At 51.6% G+C, this 20,569-nt stretch overlaps 1 protein-coding gene and 1 long non-coding RNA gene across 5 annotated transcripts, besides 4 other annotated features; one reads left to right on the top strand and one right to left on the bottom strand.

The window, feature by feature from the left end:
- Nucleotides 388-902: an enhancer, noted in NCBI's record as "H3K27ac-H3K4me1 hESC enhancer chr19:59023062-59023576 (GRCh37/hg19 assembly coordinates)". NCBI's record gives its function as "activates a minimal SCP1, AML or CMV promoter by ChIP-STARR-seq in primed H9 embryonic stem cells {active_cell/tissue: H9 hESC(primed)}" and the evidence as "EXISTENCE:reporter gene assay evidence [ECO:0000049][PMID:30033119]".
- SLC27A5 (solute carrier family 27 member 5) lies at nt 605-14,264 on the top strand. 4 transcript variants are annotated; one of them, NM_001321196.2, is made up of 10 exons: nt 605-1,077; nt 1,667-1,876; nt 2,592-2,750; nt 11,187-11,311; nt 11,891-12,085; nt 12,168-12,258; nt 12,907-13,105; nt 13,377-13,474; nt 13,682-13,812; nt 13,906-14,264. In NM_001321196.2, the coding sequence occupies exons 1-10, from the start codon at nt 642-644 to the stop codon at nt 14,080-14,082; spliced, it is 1,821 nt and encodes a 606-aa protein (NP_001308125.1). In that variant the 5' UTR covers nt 605-641; the 3' UTR covers nt 14,083-14,264. The 4 variants fall into 4 exon arrangements, with proteins under 4 accessions (NP_001308125.1, NP_036386.1, XP_011524666.1 ...); NM_012254.3 differs by having other exon boundaries at nt 605-1,329; XM_011526364.3 differs by lacking the exon at nt 13,682-13,812 and having other exon boundaries at nt 605-1,329.
- On the bottom strand, nt 1,474-13,086 carry LOC105372485 (uncharacterized). The gene is made up of 2 exons (XR_001754024.2): nt 11,869-13,086; nt 1,474-2,813 (listed from the first exon to the last, which is right to left on the bottom strand). It is a non-coding gene; the product is annotated as an uncharacterized LOC105372485 (long non-coding RNA).
- Nucleotides 5,784-5,997: a silencer, noted in NCBI's record as "fragment chr19:59017967-59018180 (GRCh37/hg19 assembly coordinates)". NCBI's record gives its function as "represses an EF-1alpha promoter that drives an FKBP-Casp9 reporter gene in an ReSE screen in phorbol 12-myristate 13-acetate-treated (for megakaryocytic differentiation) K562 erythroleukemia cells {active_cell/tissue: K562(+PMA)}" and the evidence as "EXISTENCE:reporter gene assay evidence [ECO:0000049][PMID:32094911]".
- Nucleotides 12,709-12,918: an enhancer, noted in NCBI's record as "active region_15206". NCBI's record gives its function as "activates an Ori minimal core promoter by ATAC-STARR-seq in GM12878 lymphoblastoid cells {active_cell/tissue: GM12878}" and the evidence as "EXISTENCE:reporter gene assay evidence [ECO:0000049][PMID:35858748]".
- Nucleotides 12,979-13,038: an enhancer, noted in NCBI's record as "active region_15205". NCBI's record gives its function as "activates an Ori minimal core promoter by ATAC-STARR-seq in GM12878 lymphoblastoid cells {active_cell/tissue: GM12878}" and the evidence as "EXISTENCE:reporter gene assay evidence [ECO:0000049][PMID:35858748]".

The following is a 20,569-nucleotide window of genomic DNA, read 5'->3' as shown; positions in this document are numbered from 1 at the left end:
CAGAGCAAGCACATGGGTGGGGGGCAGAGCTGGGTTTGAATCCAGGCGATGCCAGTGTTCCTGTATTTACTGAGCACTTGCTGTATGCCTGGCAGGAGGGTACGATTCCTCGGATCATGGGACAAGGGGCTTAGCCTGGCTGAGCCCCTCTCCTCAGGGTTTCAGTGGGTGTCACAGGAGGACCTCCCAATGAGGTCCACCTTGCTGTCCTGTTGCTTTTCTGTTTGGCCTGATTGGAGTGTTCCCAAGGGCAGGGATTTCTGTGCTCTGAGTGTCTGGTACCCAGCAGGGATGGGAGGGGAGGCAAGGGAGTTAGATGCCAGCCCTGGAGGGTGGATGGGGCAAGCAGGACAGCAGGAAGGAGGCTAGTGGTGCCCAAGGGGCAGAGACCTGGGAACCCAGAGGCCAGTGATGGAAAGGGTTAGCGCCAGGCAGAGAGGGGCTGGACCCACACACAAGACCAGGCAGAGCAAACAAACGTAGAGGAGAAGGGCTGGGGGCAAAGTCCTGGGGAGAGGACCAGCCACTGTCAGCAGTGCCAGGGCCACCACCCCTGGGGAGGAGCCATTGGGCTACTCTTGAGGGGCCAGAGGTGAGCCTGAACACTCCACAGCTGCTGCTCCTAGGGAGGAGCTGGTACCATGGGTGTCAGGCAACAGTTGGCCTTGCTGCTGCTGCTGCTGCTCCTGCTCTGGGGCCTGGGGCAGCCAGTGTGGCCAGTCGCTGTGGCCTTGACCCTGCGCTGGCTCCTGGGGGATCCCACATGTTGCGTGCTACTTGGGCTGGCCATGTTAGCACGGCCCTGGCTCGGCCCCTGGGTGCCCCATGGGCTGAGCCTGGCAGCTGCGGCCCTGGCACTAACCCTCCTGCCAGCACGGCTGCCCCCAGGACTACGCTGGCTGCCGGCTGATGTGATCTTCTTGGCCAAGATCCTCCACCTGGGCCTGAAGATCAGGGGATGCTTGAGCCGGCAGCCGCCTGACACCTTTGTAGATGCCTTCGAGCGGCGAGCACGAGCGCAGCCTGGCAGGGCACTCTTGGTGTGGACGGGGCCTGGGGCCGGCTCAGTCACCTTTGGTGAGCTGGATGCCCGGGCCTGCCAGGCGGCATGGGCCCTGAAGGCTGAGCTGGGTGACCCTGCGAGCCTGTGTGCCGGGGAGCCTACTGCCCTCCTTGTGCTGGCTTCCCAGGCCGTTCCAGCCCTGTGTATGTGGCTGGGGCTGGCCAAGCTGGGCTGCCCAACAGCCTGGATCAACCCGCATGGCCGGGGGATGCCCCTGGCGCACTCTGTGCTGAGCTCTGGGGCCCGGGTGCTGGTGGTGGACCCAGGTGAGGGCCTTGGAGCCAGTGGAGAATGGAAGGGGGCAAGGGCAGGGACTATAGGACAGGGGTTCTGCTGGGACTGGCAGAGGCCCTTGGTCCCCACCTGCCTACTTTCACAGGCAATTATAATCAAGACTTATGAGCAGAAAGTAGTTCTCAGGTCATCAGAGTTTAATTTTCCCACAATTTGACCAAAAATACTAATGATGGGATTCTTTACCAAACAACATGGATGCTTTTCTCTACTAGCTGCTCCTCTGCCTGCATCTGTGGGTCTCAGATCCCGCCTCGCAACCTCAAAGGTGAGCCTTGCCTCTGTTTCTCCTCTGACCCATCTCTGCAGACCTCCGGGAGAGCCTGGAGGAGATCCTTCCCAAGCTGCAGGCTGAGAACATCCGCTGCTTCTACCTCAGCCATACCTCCCCTACACCAGGGGTGGGGGCTCTGGGGGCTGCCCTGGATGCAGCGCCCTCCCACCCAGTGCCTGCTGACCTGCGTGCTGGGATCACATGGAGAAGCCCTGCCCTCTTCATCTATACCTCGGGGACCACTGGTGAGGGTGCCCATTAGCCCTAGCACCAGCCTCTGAACTCTCAGGCTGACCTGACCCCACACTTGACTTGTGACTCAGTGTTGACCTCTGAAACCACTTTACCCTCTGATTTTGACATTTGTTTTTTGTTTGGCTGTTTTTTTTTTCGAGGCAGAGTCTCGCTCTGTCGCCTAGGCTGGACTGCAGTGGTGCAATCTCGGCTCACTGCAACCTCCACCTCCTGGGTTCAAGCAATTCTCTTGCCTCAGCCTCCTGAGTAGCTGGGATTACAGGCACACACCACTATGCCCAGCTAATTTTTGTATTTTTGGTAGAGACAGGGTTTCCCCAAGTTAGCCAGGCTGGTCTCTAACCCCTGACCTCAGGGGACCTGCCCAACTCAGCCTCTCAAAATGCTGGGATTACAGGCGTGAGCCACTGCTCCCAGACTTGATTTTGATATTTGGCCTGAACTCTGACCCCCAATGTAATTTGAGAGGTCAATGCCAGAATTCTTCCTGTGTCCAGTAAACAGCCACTGAAACCTTTGATCTTGACATATTACTTTCAGTCCAAATTCAGCCTGTGAACCCAACCACAAATCCCTATACTTGACTGTTCTCTGAGAGCCTCAAACCCCAATGTAGGCCTGGCTGTTGGAGATCTATCCCTCTGGTCAGGCCCCTCTCTGTGCTGTCATGTCACCACCCTGCCCTTGCCATGCCTTCATCCCAAGGCCTCCCGAAGCCAGCCATCCTCACGCATGAGCGGGTACTGCAGATGAGCAAGATGCTGTCCTTATCTGGGGCCACAGCTGATGATGTGGTTTACACGGTCCTGCCTCTGTACCACGTGATGGGACTTGTCGTTGGGATCCTCGGCTGCTTAGATCTCGGTAAGCCCACTTCTGAGGATCCCTCCAGTCTACAGGACCACGGGAGTAAGTGTCGGCGTGGGGCTGTCAAGGCAAAAAGACACCATAGGTTACCCAGCACCCTGTGTTCTCACTTTTGAGAAGGGACACCCACCAATGACTACCAGGGCCGCATGGACAGAAGCTTGGACACCCACACAGTCCCTGATGGCCATGCTTTGGTCAGGAGGTGACAAGACCTGATACGAGTGATGGTCACAGGCATCCAAGGAAGGTGTGGTGCTCAGGAGATGATGGGGATGCTGGCCCAGATTTGTGACATGGCCCCAAGGGCAGCTGGAGTAGGAGTGCTCTCAAGCACTCCACAGGGCTGTCTCTCTGGACTCTTGATTCAGAGTCTAGATGGGGACCTCTCCATAGCTTGTTCTTTTTGTTTTCTCTCTTTTTTTTTTATTTTAATTTTTATTTATTTATTTTTTTTCGAGACAGAGTCTTGCTTTGTCACCCAGGCTGGAGTGCAGAGGCATGATCTTGGCTCACTGCAACCTCTGCCTCCTGGGTTCAAGCAATTCTCCTGCCTCATCCTCCTGAGTAACTGGGATTACAGGCGCCCACCACCACGCCCGGCTAATTTTTGTAGTTTTAGTAGAGACGGGATTTCACCATCTTGGCCAGGCTGGTCTTGAACTCCTGACCTCGTGATCCACCTGCCTTGGCCTCCCAAAGTGCTGAGATTACAGGTGTGAGCCACCGCACCTGGCTATTTTCTCTCTCTCTCTCTTTTTTTTTTTGAGACAGAGTCTCGCTCTGTCGCCCAGGCTGGAGTGCGGTGGCATGATCTCGGCTCACTGCAAGCTCCGCCTTCCAGGTTCAAGCGATTTTCCTGCCTCAGCCTCCTGAGTAGCTGGGATTACAGGCACGCACCACCACGCCCAGCTAATTTTTGTATTTTTACTAGAGACTAGGTTTCACCATGTTGGTCAGGCTGGTCTCAAACTCCTGACCTTGTGATCTGCCCACATTTGCGGGCATTTGCCTCCCAAAGCGCTGGGATTACAGGTGTGACCCACCACGCCCGGCCTTTTTGTGTTTTCCAGCTATTATCATGGCCATGTGTGGTTGCTCATGCCTATAATCCCTGCACTTTGGGTGCCAAGGCAGGAGGATCACTTGAGTCCAGGAGTTCAACACCAGCGTGGGCAACATAGTAAGAGGCCATCTGTTAAAAAAAAATTTTAAAAAGCCACGCATGGTGGTATCGGGGGAACCTGCCCCTAATATTTCAATGTAGGTTCTTTTTTTTTTTTTTTTTGAGATGGAGTCTCGCTCTGTCGCCCAGGCTGGAGTGCAGTGGTGCGATCTCAGCTCACTGCAAGCTCTGCCTCCTGGGTTCATGCCATTCTCCTGCCTCAGCCTCCCCAGTAGCTGGGACTACAGGCGCCTGCCACCGCGCCCGGCTAATTTTTTGTATTTTTAGTAGAGATGGGGTTTCACATTTAGCCAGGATGGTCTCAATCTCCTGACCTCATGATCCTCCCACCTCGGCCTCCCAAAGTGCTGGGATTACAGGTGTGAGCCACTGTGCCCGGCCTCGATGTAGGTTCTTTCTATTTTCCGTAAGTGCTGGCCAGCTGAGAAATAAAGAGAAAGAGTACAAAGAGAGGAATTTGACAGCTGGGCCTCCGGGGGTGACATCACATATCGGTAGGACCATGATGCCCACCTGAGCTCAAAGCCAGCAAGTTTTATTAAGGATTTCAGAAGGGAAGGGGGTGTAAGAACCGAGAATAGGTACAAAGATCACATGCTTCAAAGGGCAAAAAACGGAACTACTGATCAGGGTCCAACAAAGATCACAAGGCAAAGGGCAAAAGCAGAACTGATAAGGGTCTATGTTCAGTGGTGCACATATTGTCTTGATAAACATCTTAAACAACAGAAAACAGGGTTCAAGAGCAGAGAACTGGTCTGACCTCAAATTTACCAGGGCGGGGTTTTTCCCCACCCTAGTAAGCCTGAGGGTACTGCAGGAGACCAGGGTGCATCTCAGTCCTTATCTCAACTGCATAGGACAGACATTCCCAGAGCGGCCATTTATAGACCTCCCCCCAGGAATGAATTCCTTTCCCAGGGTCTTAATGTTAATATTCCTTGCTAGGAAAATAATTTAGCAATATCTCTCCTACTTGCACGTCCACTTATAGGCTCTCTGCAAGAAGAAAAATATGGCTCTTTTTGCCCAGCCCCGCAGGCAGTCAGACCTTAGGGTTGTCTTCCCTTGTTCCCTAAAATCACTCTCATTCTGTTCTTTTTCAATGTGCGCTGATTTCACATTGTTCAAACACACATTTTACAATCAATTTGTACAGTTAACACAATTATCACAGGGTCCTGAGGTGACGTACATCCTCAGCTTATGAAGATAACAGGATTAAGAGATGAAAGTAAGACAGGCGTAAGAAATTATAAGAGTATTATTTGGGAAGTGATAAATGTCCATGTTATCTTCACAATTTATGTTCCTCTGCCGTGGCTCCAGCCGGTCCGTCTGTTAGGGGTCCCTGACTTCCCGCAACAGTGGTGAGCACTTGTGAGCGATTCTTCTGCCTCAGCATCCCGAGTAGCTGTTATTACAGGTGCCCACCACTATGCCCGGCTAATTTTTGAATTTTTAGTATAGGTGGGGTCTCACCATGTTGGCCAGGCTGGTCTCCAACACCTGACCTCATGATCCACCCACCTCAGCCTCCCAAAGTGCTGGGATTACAGGCATGAGCCACCGCGCCCGGCCAAATTTTTCTTTTTTTTTTAATTATGAAAAGTTTAGCTGTGCCCGGTGGTTCACGCCTGTAATCCCAGCACTTTGGGAGGCTGAGGCGGGTGGATCACCTGAGGTCAGGAGTTCAAGACAAGCCTGGTCAACATAGTGAAATCTGTCTCTACTTAAAATACAAAAATTAGCCAGTCATGGTGGCTCACGCCTGTAATCCCAGCACTTTGGGAAGCTGAGGCCACTGGATCACCTGAAATCAGGAGTTTGAGACCAGCCTGGCCAACATGGTAAAACCCTGTCTGTACTGAAAATACAAAATTAGCTGGGCGTGGTGATGCGAGCCTGTGTTTCCAGCTACTCGGGAGGCTGAGGCAGGAAAATCGCTTCAACCTGGGAGGCGGGGGTTGCAAAAAGAGTGAAACTCCCTTGCAAAAAAAAAAAAAAAGTGAAAATAGTTTGATGACATCTCATGTATCTTCGCCCAGCATCAATAATTGTTAACATGTTGCCAGTTTAATTTCGCATATACTTCTCTGTTTCTTTTTTGTTTGTTTTTGAGACACAGTCTCGCTCTGTCACCCAGGCTGGAGTGCAGTGGCACCATCTCAGATCACCACAACCTCTGCCTCCCGGGTTCAAGCAATTCTCTGCTGAGGCTGAGCCTCCTGAGTAGCTGGGATTACAGGCATGCGCCTCCACACCTGGCTAATGTTTGTATTCTTAGTAGAGACGGGGTTTTGCCATGTTGGCCAGGCTGGTCTCGAACTCCTGACCTCAGGTGATCCACCTACCTCGGCCTCCCAAAGTGCTGGGATTACAGGCGTGAACCACCGCGCCTGGCGTCTGTTTGTTTTCAAACTTTTATCATGGCCAGGTGTGGTTCCTCATGCCTATAATCCCTGCACTTTGGGGTACCAAGGCAGGAGGATCACTTGAGCCCAGGAGTTCAACACCAGCCTGGGCAACATAGTGAGAGTCCATCTGTTAAAAAAAAAAAAAAGCCAGGCATGGTGGTGAGCACTTGTGAGCGATTCTCCTGCCTCAGCCTCCCTAGTAGCTGTTATTACAGGCTCCCACCACCGTGCCTGGCTAACTTTTGTATTTTTAGTAGAGACAGGGTTTAACCATGTTGGCCAGGCTGGTCTCGAACTCCTGACCTCGTGATCCGCCCGCCTCGGCCTCCCAAAGTGCTGGGATTACAGGTGTGAACTACCGTGCCCGGCCAAATGTTTTTTTTTTTTTTTTTGAGTCGGGGTTTCACTATTGTTGCCCAGGATGGAATGCAATGGCGCGATGTCGGCTCACTGCAACCTCTGCCTCCTGGGTTCAAGCGATTCTCCTGCCTCAGCATCCCAAGTAGCTGGGATTACAGGCATGTGCCCTCACGACCGGCTAATTTTTTTTTATGTTTTTAGTAGAGATGGGGTTTCTCCATGTTGGTCAGGCTTGTCTCAAACTCCCGACCTCAGGTGATCCGCCCACCTCAGCCTCGCAAAGTGCTGGGATTACAGGCGTGAGCCACTGCGCCCGGCCAAATTGTTTTTTTAATTATGAAAAGTTTAGGCTGTGCCCAGTGGTTTACGCCTGTAATCCCAGCACTTTGGGAGGATGAGTCTGGTGGATCACCTGAGGTCAGGAGTTCAAGATCAGCCTGGCTAACATGGCAAAATCCGTCTCTACCTAAAATACAAAAATTACCGGGGCATGGTGGCTCACGCCTGTAATCCCAGCACTTTGGGAGGCTGAGGCCGGCGGAACACCTGAAGTCAGGAGTTTGAGACCAGCCTGGCCAACATGGTGAAACCCTGTCTCTACTGAAAATACAAAATTAGCTGGGTATGGTGGTGGGCGCCTGTATTTCCAGCTACCAGGGAGGCTGAGGCAGGAGAATCGCTTGAACCCGGGGCGCAGGGGTTGCAGTGAGCCGAGATCTAGCCATTGCATTCCAGCCTGTGCAAAAAGCGAGACTCTGTCTCAAAAAAAAAAAAAAAAAAAAGTGAAAATAGTTTGATGACATCTCAGGTATCTTCACCCAGCTTCAATAATTGTTAACATGCTGCCAGTTTAATTTCTTTTTTTTTTTTTCTTTGAGATGGAGTCTCGCTCTGTCGCCCAGGCTGGAGTGCAGTGGCGCAATCTCTGCTCACGGCAAGCTCCGCCTCCTGGGTTCATGCCATTCTCCTGCCTAAGTCTCCGGAGTAGCTGGGACTACAAGTGACCGCCACCACGCCTGGCTATTTTTTTTGTATTTTTAGTAGAGACAGGGTTTCACGGTGTTCACCAGGATGGTCTCAATCTCCTGACCTCGTGATCCGCCCGCCTCGGCCTCCCAAAGTGCTGGGATTACAGGCATGAGCCACCGCGCCCAGGGCCAGTTTAATTTCACATGTACTTCCCTGTTTCTTTTTTGTTTGTTTGTTTGTTTTTGAGACAGAGTCTCGCTCTGTCGCCCAGGCTGGAGTGCAGTGGCACCATCTTGGGTCACCGCAAGCTCCGCCCCGCCCGCCCCCCCCCCCCCCCCAGGGTTCAATCAGTTTTCTGCCTCAGCCTCCTGAATAGCTGGGATTACAGGCACGCACCGCCACAAGCGGCTAATTTTTGTATTTTTAGTAGAGACAGGGTTTCGCCATGTTGGCCAGGCTGGTCTCAAACTCCTGACCTCAGGTGATCCACCTGCCTCGGCCTCCCAAAGTGCTGGGATTACAGGCGTGAGCCACCGTGCCCAGCCACTTCCCTATTTTTTTCCAGAATATATCAGAGCAAATCCTAGACACTGCATCTTTATGCTTGTAAATATTGCAGTACATATCTCTAACATATAAGCACTGAAGAAACTGTAACCAAAGTGATTATTACACGTAACAACATTAATATCATATGATGTCCTTAATATCATATGATGTAACCCCTTAATATCATATGATGTCCAGTCTATGTTCAGATTTCTCCAATGGGCTGTTTTGGTTTGGTTTTGTTTTTAGAGACAGAGTCTTGCTTTGTCACCCAGGCTGGAGTACAGTTGTGTGATGTTGGCTCACTACAACCTCTGCCTCCTGGGTTCAAACGATTCTCATGCCTCATCCTCCTGAGCAGTTGTGATTACAGGTGTGGACCACCATGCCCAGCTAATTTTTTTGTATTTTTAGTAAAGACAGGGTTTCGCCCTGTTGGCCAGTCTGGTCTTGAACTTCTGGCCTCAAGTGATCTGAACACGTTGGCCTCCCAAAGTGCTGAGATTACAGGTGTGAGCTACTGTGCCCAGCCAATTGGCTGTTTTTTTGTTTGTTTGTTTGTTTGTTTGTTTTTAACAATTAAACAGTCTCCCCATTGTATTTGCTTGTAGGTCTCTGTTCCCCTTTCATCTGCATTTCTTGTTAAATTGGAAACTTTAACTAGAGGTGTTGTTAGATTCAGTTTTTTTCTTTTTCTTTTGAGACAGGGTCTCACTCTGTCACCCAGGCTGGAGTGCAGTGGTGTAAGCTCGGCTCACTACAGCCTCCCCCTCCTGGGTTCAAGCGATTCTTCCACCTCAGCCTCCCGAGTAGCTGGGACTACAGGTGTGCGCCACCACGCCTGGCTAATTTTTGCATTTTTTGGTAGAGATAGGGTTTCACCATGTTGGCTAGGCTGGTCTCAAACTCCTGATCTTTCAGGTGATCCACCCCCCTCAGCCTCCCAAAGTGTTGGGATAACAGGTGTGAGCCACCACGCCCAGCCCCCTATATCTTATTAATCCATGTGTCCATACGTCAATACAACCATACAAACATTCACCAACCCACCCATCTACCTACTCACCTACTTCCTCACTCATTCATTCATTCATCCACCCACCCATCTATCCATCCTTACACCTATCCATCTTTCTCTTTTTCTTTTTTTTTTTTTTTAAGACAGAGTCTCACTCTGTCGCCCAGGCTGGAGTGCAGTGGCGCTATCTCGGCTCACTGCAAGCTCCGCCTCCCAGGTTCACGCCATTCTCCTGCCTCAGCCTCCCGAGTAGCTGGGACTACAGGCGCCCGCTACCACGCCCAGCTAATTTTTTGTATTTTCAGTAGAGACGGGTTTCACCGTGTTAGCCAGGATGGTCTTGATCTCCTGACCTCGTGATCCGCCCACCTCGGCCTCCCTAAGTCCTGGGATTACAGGCGTGACGATCCTCACCCAGCCACCTATCCATCTTTCTACCCCCCTGCCTCTGCATGTCACTGTCCAGCCATCCATCTACTCACTCACTACTCTAACTGTCCACCCATCCATCTACTCACTCACTACTCTAACTGTCCAGCCATCCATCTACTCACTCACTACTCTAACTGTCCACCCATCCATCTACTCACTCACTACTCTAACTGTCCACCCATCCATCTACTCACTCACTACTCTAACTGTCCACCCATCCATCTACTCACTCACTACTCTAACTGTTCACCCATCCATCTTCTCACTCACTACTCTGTCCACACATCCATCTTCTCACTCACTACTCTGTCCACCCATCCATCTACTCACTCACTACTCTAACTGTCCACCCATCCATCCACTCACTCACTACTCTAACTGTTCACCCATCCATCTTCTCACTCACTACTGTAACTGTTCACCCATCCATCTACTCACTCACTACTCTGTTCACCCATCCATCTTCTCACTCACTACTCTAACTGTCCACACATCCATCTTCTCACTCACTACTCTGTCCACCCATCCATCTACTCACTCACTACTCTAACTGTCCACCCATCCATCCACTCACTCACTACTCTAACTGTTCACCCATCCATCTTCTCACTCACTACTCTAACTGTTCACCCATCCATCTACTCACTCACTACTCTGTCACCCATCCATCTACTCACTCACTACTCTAACTGTCCACCCATCCATCTACTCACTCACTACTCTAACTGTTCACCCATCCATCTACTCACTCACTACTCTGTCCACCCACCCATCTACTCACTCACTACTCTAACTGTCCATCCATTCATCTTTCCATCCATCCACCATATCCATCCACCTGCCCACCCATCTGCTTAGCTGGGCATTCATTTATCGTAATCAAGAGTGATTTGAGCTTCGAGTCAGTGACAAGCCAAAATAAAAATTAAAAATGTGGCTGGGCACAGAGGCTCATGCCTGTAATCACAGCACTTTGGAGGCCGAGGCGGGTGGATCACCTGAAAGGTCAGGAGTTCAAGACCAGCCTGGCCAACATGGTGAAACCCCGTCTGTACTTAAAAAAGTACAAAAATTAGCCAGCTGTGGTGGCGGGTGCTTGTAATCCCAGCAACTCAGAAAGCTGAGGCAGGAGAATCGCTTGAACCCGGGAGGGAGAGGTTGCAGTGAGCGGAGATTGCACCACTGCACTCCAGCCTGGGCAACAGAGCGAGACTCCGTCTCAAAAATAAAAATAAAAAATTTAATATTTACAGCCCTTATTTAGCATTGCTCACTTTATAACAGGCACGGAGCTTTCCCGGCATCCTGGAGACAGGATTTGAACCCAGGCCTGCCTATGCTCTTCTAGTGAGAGCAGTCCTGGCTGGGCCAAGGACACAAAGATGAACTCAGTATTGTCCTGTATTTCAGGGTGTGGGGGTGGGTGAGCACAGGTGCTAAAAGCAGCTTCTTACAACAATTTGGAAGCATGACCTGAAACCCCCTCTCCTGTCATCTCCCAGGAGCCACCTGTGTTCTGGCCCCCAAGTTCTCTACTTCCTGCTTCTGGGATGACTGTCGGCAGCATGGCGTGACAGTGATCCTGTATGTGGGCGAGCTCCTGCGGTACTTGTGTAACATTCCCCAGGTGAGGCTCTAAGATTAGGGCTCCATGGTGAACACCCAAGTATGAAATCCCAGGTAAAGGTCTCAGGTAAAGATTCAGGTACTGAACTCAAGTCCCTCAGATAATACACCTCATGCAAGAACCCCAGATAATGAGTTTCAGACAAGGCTTCCAATAATGGTTTCTTTGATAGCTGTGCTACCTTGAGCCTCAGTGTCCTCATTTGGAAAACAGGGATAATAGCCCCTACCCCTATCATGAGAATTTCCATTAAAAATTAATTAATTAAAATTAAATTTCCATTAAATTAAAGTTCTAGGTAACTACTCTTAGGTGAGACCCCAGATGAGGCCTCCAGTCACCTCTGGTAACGTCCCCCAGGCAAAGCTCTGAGGTCGCCCCTGCAGGTAACCCTCTATTTAAGACTCCAGTAACTACTCTCATGTAAGTAACCCAGGTAGATCCCTTAGGTAGAGGTCCCCCATCACCTTCCAGGTAACTCCCAAGGTAAGGACCCAGGATAACACCCCCTCTAGGTAAAGGTTCCAAGGCATGCCCCAAGAGCACCTCCTCCTCACCCTTCTGGGGACATTCCTGTAGCAACCAGAGGACCGGACACATACAGTCCGCCTGGCAATGGGCAATGGACTACGGGCTGATGTGTGGGAGACCTTCCAGCAGCGCTTCGGTCCTATTCGGATCTGGGAAGTCTACGGCTCCACAGAAGGCAACATGGGCTTAGTCAACTATGTGGGGCGCTGCGGGGCCCTGGGCAAGATGAGCTGCCTCCTCCGAGTGAGTGTGCGGGTACCTGGTGTGCAGCTGCCCTGAGGCTGAGCCCACAGGACCTATGTCAACACTCCACCCTCCACCCCAGATGCTGTCCCCCTTTGAGCTGGTGCAGTTCGACATGGAGGCGGCGGAGCCTGTGAGGGACAATCAGGGCTTCTGCATCCCTGTAGGGCTAGGTATGGGGGTTGAGGAGCCTTTCCTGGGTGGCAGGGGTGGCGACCCTCAGTCTTCTGCTTGGCTGGAACGAGCTGCTCAAAAGCTTGACGTTGGTGCTCACTAGAGGGGTCTGCAGCCTTCATCTGGACCCTGAGCCAGTGGCCTGCCTTACCACCATCTGGGGCCTCCGCCTCAGCTTCTCGGCTCTGTCCAGCTCCCCTGCCTTGATCTCTTGCTCTGATTTACTGGGTCTCTGGGTGTCCATCTGATTTGTTCTCTTGAGCTTTCTGTGGAAGACGGCATTCCAGCCATTGGTCCCTTGTCCTGTACCTTCTGTTAGTGTCTTCTCCCAGGGCCTTGCAAGGTCCTGGTCATATCTATTCTCACTGCCATTTGTCTGTCCGTCTTCCATCCCTTGTTATCCTTTTCCTGTTTCTCATGGGCTCCCCATACCGCCTTCTCTATACTTCTCTCTCATTTTCTGTGTCGCTTGTCGCAGTCTCTCAAGGTCTCTGAATGTCTCTCTCATCTCTGGATCTCCCTGTCTGTGTCTTTGGGTCTGTCCTTGGCAGGGTGCTGGGTGATGAAGAGTCCACCGTTGTTGAAAACCTCCAGCAGGGGGCTTGGCTGGTGGGCTCCAGGGGTTCTTGTTCCTGCTCCTACCCCAGGGGAGCCGGGGCTGCTGCTGACCAAGGTGGTAAGCCAGCAACCCTTCGTGGGCTACCGCGGCCCCCGAGAGCTGTCGGAACGGAAGCTGGTGCGCAACGTGCGGCAATCGGGCGACGTTTACTACAACACCGGGGACGTACTGGCCATGGACCGCGAAGGCTTCCTCTACTTCCGCGACCGCCTCGGGGACACCTTCCGGTCCGAGGCAGGGTTTCTCGGGGCGGGGCTGGCGCGGGGCCACGGACGCTTTCAGATCCTAGAGGGAGTCAGGCTGAAGAGGCGGGACTTTCCTGTCGTAAGAGGGCGGAACTTGGAGTCAGGACTTCTCACGCGAAGGCGGGGCTTCTCGATTTTCGAGGGGGCGGGGCTGACTGGGCCTCCTGATCCCCAAAAGGGGCGGGGCGGGGGCAAGAGGCGGGGCCTCTCCTTCCCGGGGGCGTGGTCACAAGCGCCGGCTCCCTCCTTGCAGATGGAAGGGCGAGAACGTGTCCACGCACGAGGTGGAGGGCGTGTTGTCGCAGGTGGACTTCTTGCAACAGGTTAACGTGTATGGCGTGTGCGTGCCAGGTGCGGAGGGTTCTCATTTTAAACTTCCAACAGCTTTGTGGGTGGAGGGGTCGTTATTCTGATTTTACAGGTGGGGAAGTGCTAGGGCCCAGAGAGGTTTAGAGACTTGCTGGCTCTCACAGCCAGTGAGCAGAGCTGGGCGAGGCTGGAGGGTCAGCTATGGGCCCTCGAGATGGGTCAGCCGAGAGTGACCAGACTGCTCTCTAGGTTGTGAGGGTAAGGTGGGCATGGCTGCTGTGCAGCTAGCCCCCGGCCAGACTTTCGACGGGGAGAAGTTGTACCAGCACGTTCGCGCTTGGCTCCCTGCCTACGCTACCCCCCATTTCATCCGCATCCAGGTGAGCCCAGGGTGGCCTGGTGGGTGGGTGGAAGATCATAGCCAGGGGGCGGGTGGATGTCACAGTGATTGGACCATGGTCACTGCCCTGCAGGACGCCATGGAGGTCACCAGCACGTTCAAACTGATGAAGACCCGGTTGGTGCGTGAGGGCTTCAATGTGGGGATCGTGGTTGACCCTCTGTTTGTACTGGACAACCGGGCCCAGTCCTTCCGGCCCCTGACGGCAGAAATGTACCAGGCTGTGTGTGAGGGAACCTGGAGGCTCTGATCACCTGGCCAACCCACTGGGGTAGGGATCAAAGCCAGCCACCCCCACCCCAACACACTCGGTGTCCCTTTCATCCTGGGCCTGTGTGAATCCCAGCCTGGCCATACCCTCAACCTCAGTGGGCTGGAAATGACAGTGGGCCCTGTAGCAGTGGCAGAATAAACTCAGATGTGTTCACAGAAGTCTGTATGTCTGCGTGGATGAAGGAGCAATGGAGGAGTGCAGGGGCTAGTGCCCTGAAGACCTTATTTTAGGGTCTTCCCTGTCTCCCAGCAAAGAACCTCAGCCATCCCTGTGGGATGACCCTGTCTGTGTAACGCCAAGGGTGTGGGAGGAGCTGGCCAGCCTCGCAGCTGCTCTGAGGTAGAGAGATGAGAACTCTGATTCTCATCTGTGGGTCTTTGGTGGGCCACTGAGGCGGTGGCTGGGCCAGTGGATGTGGATAACTCCCCTGTGAAGTGCTGTGGATACACAATCTGACAAAGCCTGGAGGTTGCTGGACTGAGGCTAGAAGGGCAAGCAGGAGGTAACTGGGGGAGGAGTGTCCCTGGCACTGTGAACGGCACGTGTAGAGGCCCTGGGGCAAGCTTTGTAGGTGGGGAGCAGTGGGAGCAGAGGCCTCTGGAAAATGGGAGTCTGCACAGTCTCAGGAGTTGGACCTGCTACCCGAAGCCTAGTGGAGATGTAGGTGGGGGTGTGTGGGTGCTGAGCCTCTGCCTCCAAGGCTTCTCGGCCCAGTAGGAACTGAAGGTGAGGCTACAGACACTGGAACAGTTGTGGTGGTGCCAGGCCGGTGGTCCATGGGTTAACTTTGGGAGCACAGCTGGGGTGATGATGGTGAGAAAAGGAACCCCACAGCAGTAAACGCCATATGCAAAGGGCTGTCCGTGGGCAGTGCTGCAGACTGCGACCCTGCCCATCCCTTCTCGTGTGCATAGTAAACACACCCCACAGCAATGCTTAAGCACACCTGAGAATGGCCCTGTGTGGCAGACGCACCTGAGTGTGGTTCAGAGTTCCCAGCTAAGGAATCTCAGAGATTCATTCCTTATTTTTGAGGAACATCTGGGTCCTTAGCCCTGTCCCATGGAATGCTGGTGGTATAAGGGATCCTGGCCTTTTGCTTTCAGTTAAATGAAGGTTGCCAGGGGGAGGATGTTAAGTGAAAATGCCATATAAACTGCATGCTTTTTGCAAGTGGTTCTCCTGCCCAGCCCACCGCCCCTGGACTCTCCCCGGTATGTAAGCCCCCAGTAAAACCCTACATCTTGTTTGCTGGCTCTTAGTCTCTTCTTCGGCCTCTTGAACCTGGTGCCGTCCCCATTGGAGTCAGTAGGGGTTTGGCACAATACTGTGCTCTCCCGTGCCTCAGCCTCCTCATCAGGCTATGGGCCACTTTGAGACAGAACTAGCCTTCGAAGGGAGCAGTGCAGGCAGCACCCCACGTGGGCTGTGAGGCAGCTGGGCTTCACAGAGTTCCTGGTAGCATTCGAGGCTCTTCCTGTCAGCCCTGCAGCCTGGAGCTGAGACAGTATCCTTTTCAGTTGGGGTCCCACTATGAGCATCTGTTTGTCATTGGTGGTGGCCGTGCACTGTAATTCTCTTCTGCGAAGTGATAGTTGTTGTGACTTGCTATTTCTGTGCCCTGTGTGGCCAGTGGAGCCCCACATGTTCCCTGAAGAGCCCTGGCCCTTTCATACAACTGGACTTGGATCCTCCCACGCACACAGTAGGTTGTCCAGTTCCTTCATACTCCTCCAGCCTGGGTGACAGAGTGAGACTCCGTCTCAAAAAAAAAAAAAAAAAAAAAAAAGAACCCTCACGTCCTTGTTAGTATAGTGGGAAAAAAAGAAGAATAACCCTTGTGGACTCACCTGGGGCCAGGCTAGAGCTGATACTTTTTTTTTTTTTGAGACAGAGTCTCGCTCTATCACCGAGGCTGTGGTGCAATGGTGCAATCTCAGCTCACTGCAAGCTCCGCCTCCCGGGTTCATGCCACTCTCCTGCCTCAGCCTCCTGAGTAGCTGGGACTACAGGTGCCCGCCACCACGCCCGGCTTTCTTTTTGTATTTTTAGTAGAGAGGGGGTTTCACCGTGTTAGCCAGGATGGTCTAGATCTCCTGACCTCATGATCCTCCCACCTCGGCCTCCCAGAGTGCTGGGATTACAGGTGTGAGCCACTGTGCCTGGCCTAGAGCTGATATCTTCACCACATCTCATGGGATGAGTTGTGTTGTGTTGCTCCCACCATAGTTGAGGAAGCCCCAGCCAAGAGAGGTGCTTTCCCCATGAGTTACTTGCCAAGCCCATTGTTGCAGGTGTTGGATCAGAGGGTGTGGATGTTGTAGAAATATCTCACTGTGGATCCTCAGCTTTACAAGTTCACCAGCACTTTATACAAATCCGTGCCTCCCTAAGCCCTAGCTAGCTTGGGGCATTCATAGTTTTTGCTATTACATTTGCAAGGATTAAAAAATAATATTTGATTAGCTGGGTGTGGTGGTATGCACCTGTAATCCCAGCTACTCAGGAGGCTGAAGCAGGAGAATCGCTTGAACTTGGGAGGTGGAGGTTGTAGTGAGCCAAGATTGCACCACTGCACTCCACTTTAGGCAACAGAGCTGAGAGTCTGTCTCAAAATAATAATAATAATTTTTGAGGCTGGGTGCAGTGGCTGACGCCTGTAATCCCAGCACTTTGGGAAGCCGAGGTGAGTGGATCATGAGGTCAGGAGTTTGAGACCAGCCTGGCCAACATAGTGAAACCCCGTCTCTACTAAAAATACAAAAAATTAGCCAGGTGTGGTGGTGCATGCCTGTAATCCCAGCTACTCAGGAGGCTGAGGCAGGAGAATCACTTGAACTCAGAAGGTAAAAGTTGCAGTGAGCTGAGATGGCGCCATTGCACTGCAGCCTGGGTGACAGGGCAAGACTCCGTCTCAGAAAAAATAAATAGGCGGGCGCGGTGGCTCAGGCCTGAAATCCCAGCACTTTGGGAGGCCAAGGTGGGTGGATCATGAGGTCAAGAGATCGAGACCAGCCTGGCCAACATGGTGAAACCCCGTCTCTACTAAAAATACAAAAAATTAGCTGGGTGTGGTGGCGGATGCCTGTAGTCCCAGCTACTCGGGAGGGTGAGGCAGGAGAATCTCTTGAGCTGGGGAGGCAGAGGTTGCAGTGAGCTGAGATTGCACCACTACACTCCAGCCTGGCGACAGAGCGAGACTCCGTCTCAAAAAATAAAATAAAAATAAATAAATAAATAAATTTAAATAATAATATAATTTTTGGCTGGGTGCAGTGGCTCATGCTTGTAATCCTAGCACTTTGGGAGGCCAGGGTCGGAGGACCACTTCACCCTAGGAGGTCAAGATCAGCCTGGGCAACATAGTGAGACCACGTCTCTAGAAAAAAAATTAAAAGTAAAAAAATTAGCCAGGAGTGGTATTGTGCACCTTTAGTCCTAGCTACTGGGCAGGCTGAGGCAGGAGGATGGCTTAAGCCCAGGAGTTTGAGGTAACAGTGAGCTATCATTGTGCTGCTGCACTCCATCCAGCCTGGGCAACAGAGGCAGGACCCTGTCTCTAAAATAAATAAAAATTTTAAAACTTTTTCTTATTCCCCCACTAGACTACAGATCTATGAAGTGTTTTTTATTCAATATATCACACACGTTATTCCTTTTCTCTTTTACTTTCCAAACAATTTTATTTAAAAAAAACCTGCAGTACAGTATTAAAAAGCAATACATTCAGCAGGAGTGACAACCAACAGAAACAAAGGGAGGAGGGTACGGAATACCAGGGACCCTACCTCAACTGATCCTCAGGGCTGGAGGCCAGGGGCAGACTGGGAGGAGCACGGGTGGTGGGGAAGGGAGAAAAGGGCACCCACCAAAATGAACAGGCAGAACAAAACATTTATATAGGAAATGTCTAGTTGAACTTGAGGATCTTGGGGAGACGGAAAAGCACCTTTTTTTTTTTTTTCCAAAAATATCCTGGACTATCAGGGAGGGTTGGCCTCCTGGGGCGAAATGAGCAGGCAGAGCCCTACCCTACACTCTACTATTGTGGAGGGGATGTGCTGGGGGCTGGTGACACACATTTTATTCTTCTTTTTTTTTTTTTTTTTTTTTGAGATGGAGTCTCACTCTTGTTGCCTAGGCTGGAGTGCAGTGGCACTATCTTGGCTCACTGCAAACTCCGCCTCCCGGAACCAAGTGATTCTCCTGCCTCAGCCTCCTGAGTAGCTGGGATTACAGGCACACACTACCACACCTGACTAATTTTTGTATTTTTAGTAGAGACGGGGTTTCACCATCTTGACCAGGCTGGTCTTGAACTCTTGACCTCGTGATCCACCCACGTCGGCCTCCCAAAGTGCTGGGGTTACAGGTGTGAGCCACTGCACCCTTTTTTTTTTTTTTTTTTGAGACGTAGTCTCACTCTGTCACCCAGGCTGGAGTACAGTTGCACAATCTGGGCTCACTGCAACCTCTGCCTCCCAGGTTCAAGTGATGCTCCTGTCTCAGCCTCCTGAGTAGGTGGGATTACAGGCATGTGCCACCAGGCTCAGCTAATTTTTGCATTTTTTTGGTAGAGATGGGGTTTCACTATGTTGGCCAGGCTGGTCTCGAACTCCTGACCTCAGGTGATCTGCCCGCCTTGGCCTCCCAACGTGCTGGGATGACAGGCGTGAGCCACCACACCCAGCGTATTCTTAATTTCATTCTATAAGTCTTTCTGTTTCTCCTGTCCCAAGCTGCTGTAATTAGCATAGGCTTGTAATATATATATATATATATATATATATATATATATATATTTTTTTTTTTTTTTTTTTTTTCTTTTTCTTTCTCTCTTTTTTTTTTTTTTTTTTTTTTTTTGAGAAGGAGTCTCTCTCTGTTGTCCAAGCTGGAGTGCAGTGGCTTGATCTCAGTTCACCGCAACCTCTGCCTCCCAAGTTGAAGCGATTCCCCCACCTCAGCCTCCTGAGTAGCTGGGATTATAGGTGTATGCCGCCACTCCTGGCTAATTTTTGTATTTTTAGTAGAGATGGAGTTTCACCATGTTGGCCGGGCTGGTCTCGAACCCCTGACCTCAGGTGATCCACCTGCCTCGGCCTCCCAAAGTGCTGGGATTACAGGTGTGAGCCACTGCACCTGGCGGAATTCCTACTCTTTACTTTTATTTCAAAACCTTCTTAGCTAGTCATGTGTCAGAACTCTTTCCCATTTATGTCTTTTCCCCCCAAAATTGCTGGTTAGGTATAGAAGTAAAAGGTGGTGGAGGGCACCATGCTTTCTTTATATTCTTATGGGTGGCTGCTAGTGTGGGGACTGGTTTTTTTGTTTTTTTTTTTCTTTTTTGAGATAGGGTCTCGCTCTGTCACCCAGGCTGGAGTGCAGTGGCACCATCATCGCTCACTGCACCCTTGACCTCCTAGGCTCAAGTGATCCCCCCCAGTAGCTGGGGCTGCAGGCATGCACCATCATGCCTTGCTAATTAAAAAAAACATATTTTCTTTTGTAGAGTTGGGATCTTACTGTGTTACCCAGGCTGGTCTCGAACTCCTGGGCTTAAGCGATCGTCTTGCTTCAGCTTCCCAAAGTGCTGGGATTATAGGAGTGATTCACTGTCCTAGGAAGGATTGTTTCTTTCTTTCTTTCTTCCTTTTTTTTTTTTTTTTTTTTTTTTTTTGAGATGGAGTCTAGCTCTGTCTCCCAGGCTGGAGTGCAGTGGCGCAATCTCGGCTCACTGCAAGCTCCGCCTCCCAGGTTCACGCCATTCTCCTGCCTCAGCCTCCTGAGTAGCTGGGACTACAGGCGCCCGCCACCACGCCTGGCTAATTTTTTTTTTTTTGTATTTTTTAGTACAGACGAGGTTTCACCGTGTTACCCAGGATGGTCTCGATCTCTTGACCTCGTGATCCGCCCCCCCCTTAGCCTCCCAGAGTGCTGGGATTACAGGCGTGAGCCACTGTGCCCGGCCCCAGGAAGGATTCTTGAAGTATCGGTGGATGCCCTCATGGGAGGACCAGTGACTCTCACGAAAAGCAGCCTTTGTTGTCCAAGTGAATAAATAATGCCTTTCATGTAAGCATGTGAGAAATACAGGCAGATGCTGTAGCGATGGCTCAGATGGTGACGTTTCTTACAGACTTTACCAAGTCCACGGTTTCTTCTCATCCTGCCTTTTCCTGGATGCCCGTGTTAAGTTCCCCGCTCCCACCCCTAATGACAGATGACTTCTCCCACCGACTTTCCGTATCCGACATTATGCTCTCGGGTTTGATGGTTCAAGATGACTTTTTCTCTATGAATGAATAAGTCAATGATGATTAACAGTGGTGGTAATGAGAGGTACCTCCTCACACAGATCCCTCTCTGCCTTGCTAGAACTTGCCTTACCCTGGTGAGGGTGCTCTGAAAAGGCATGGACGTGGCTGCTGGTCCTGCCTCTGGACCCACAGTGACTAGGGTCTCT

The sequence above is a fragment of the Homo sapiens genome, chromosome 19, assembly GCF_000001405.40.
Source record: "Homo sapiens chromosome 19, GRCh38.p14 Primary Assembly".
NCBI classification, from domain to species: domain Eukaryota; kingdom Metazoa; phylum Chordata; class Mammalia; order Primates; family Hominidae; genus Homo; species Homo sapiens.
This window is presented reverse-complemented; position numbering and strand designations above follow the sequence as displayed.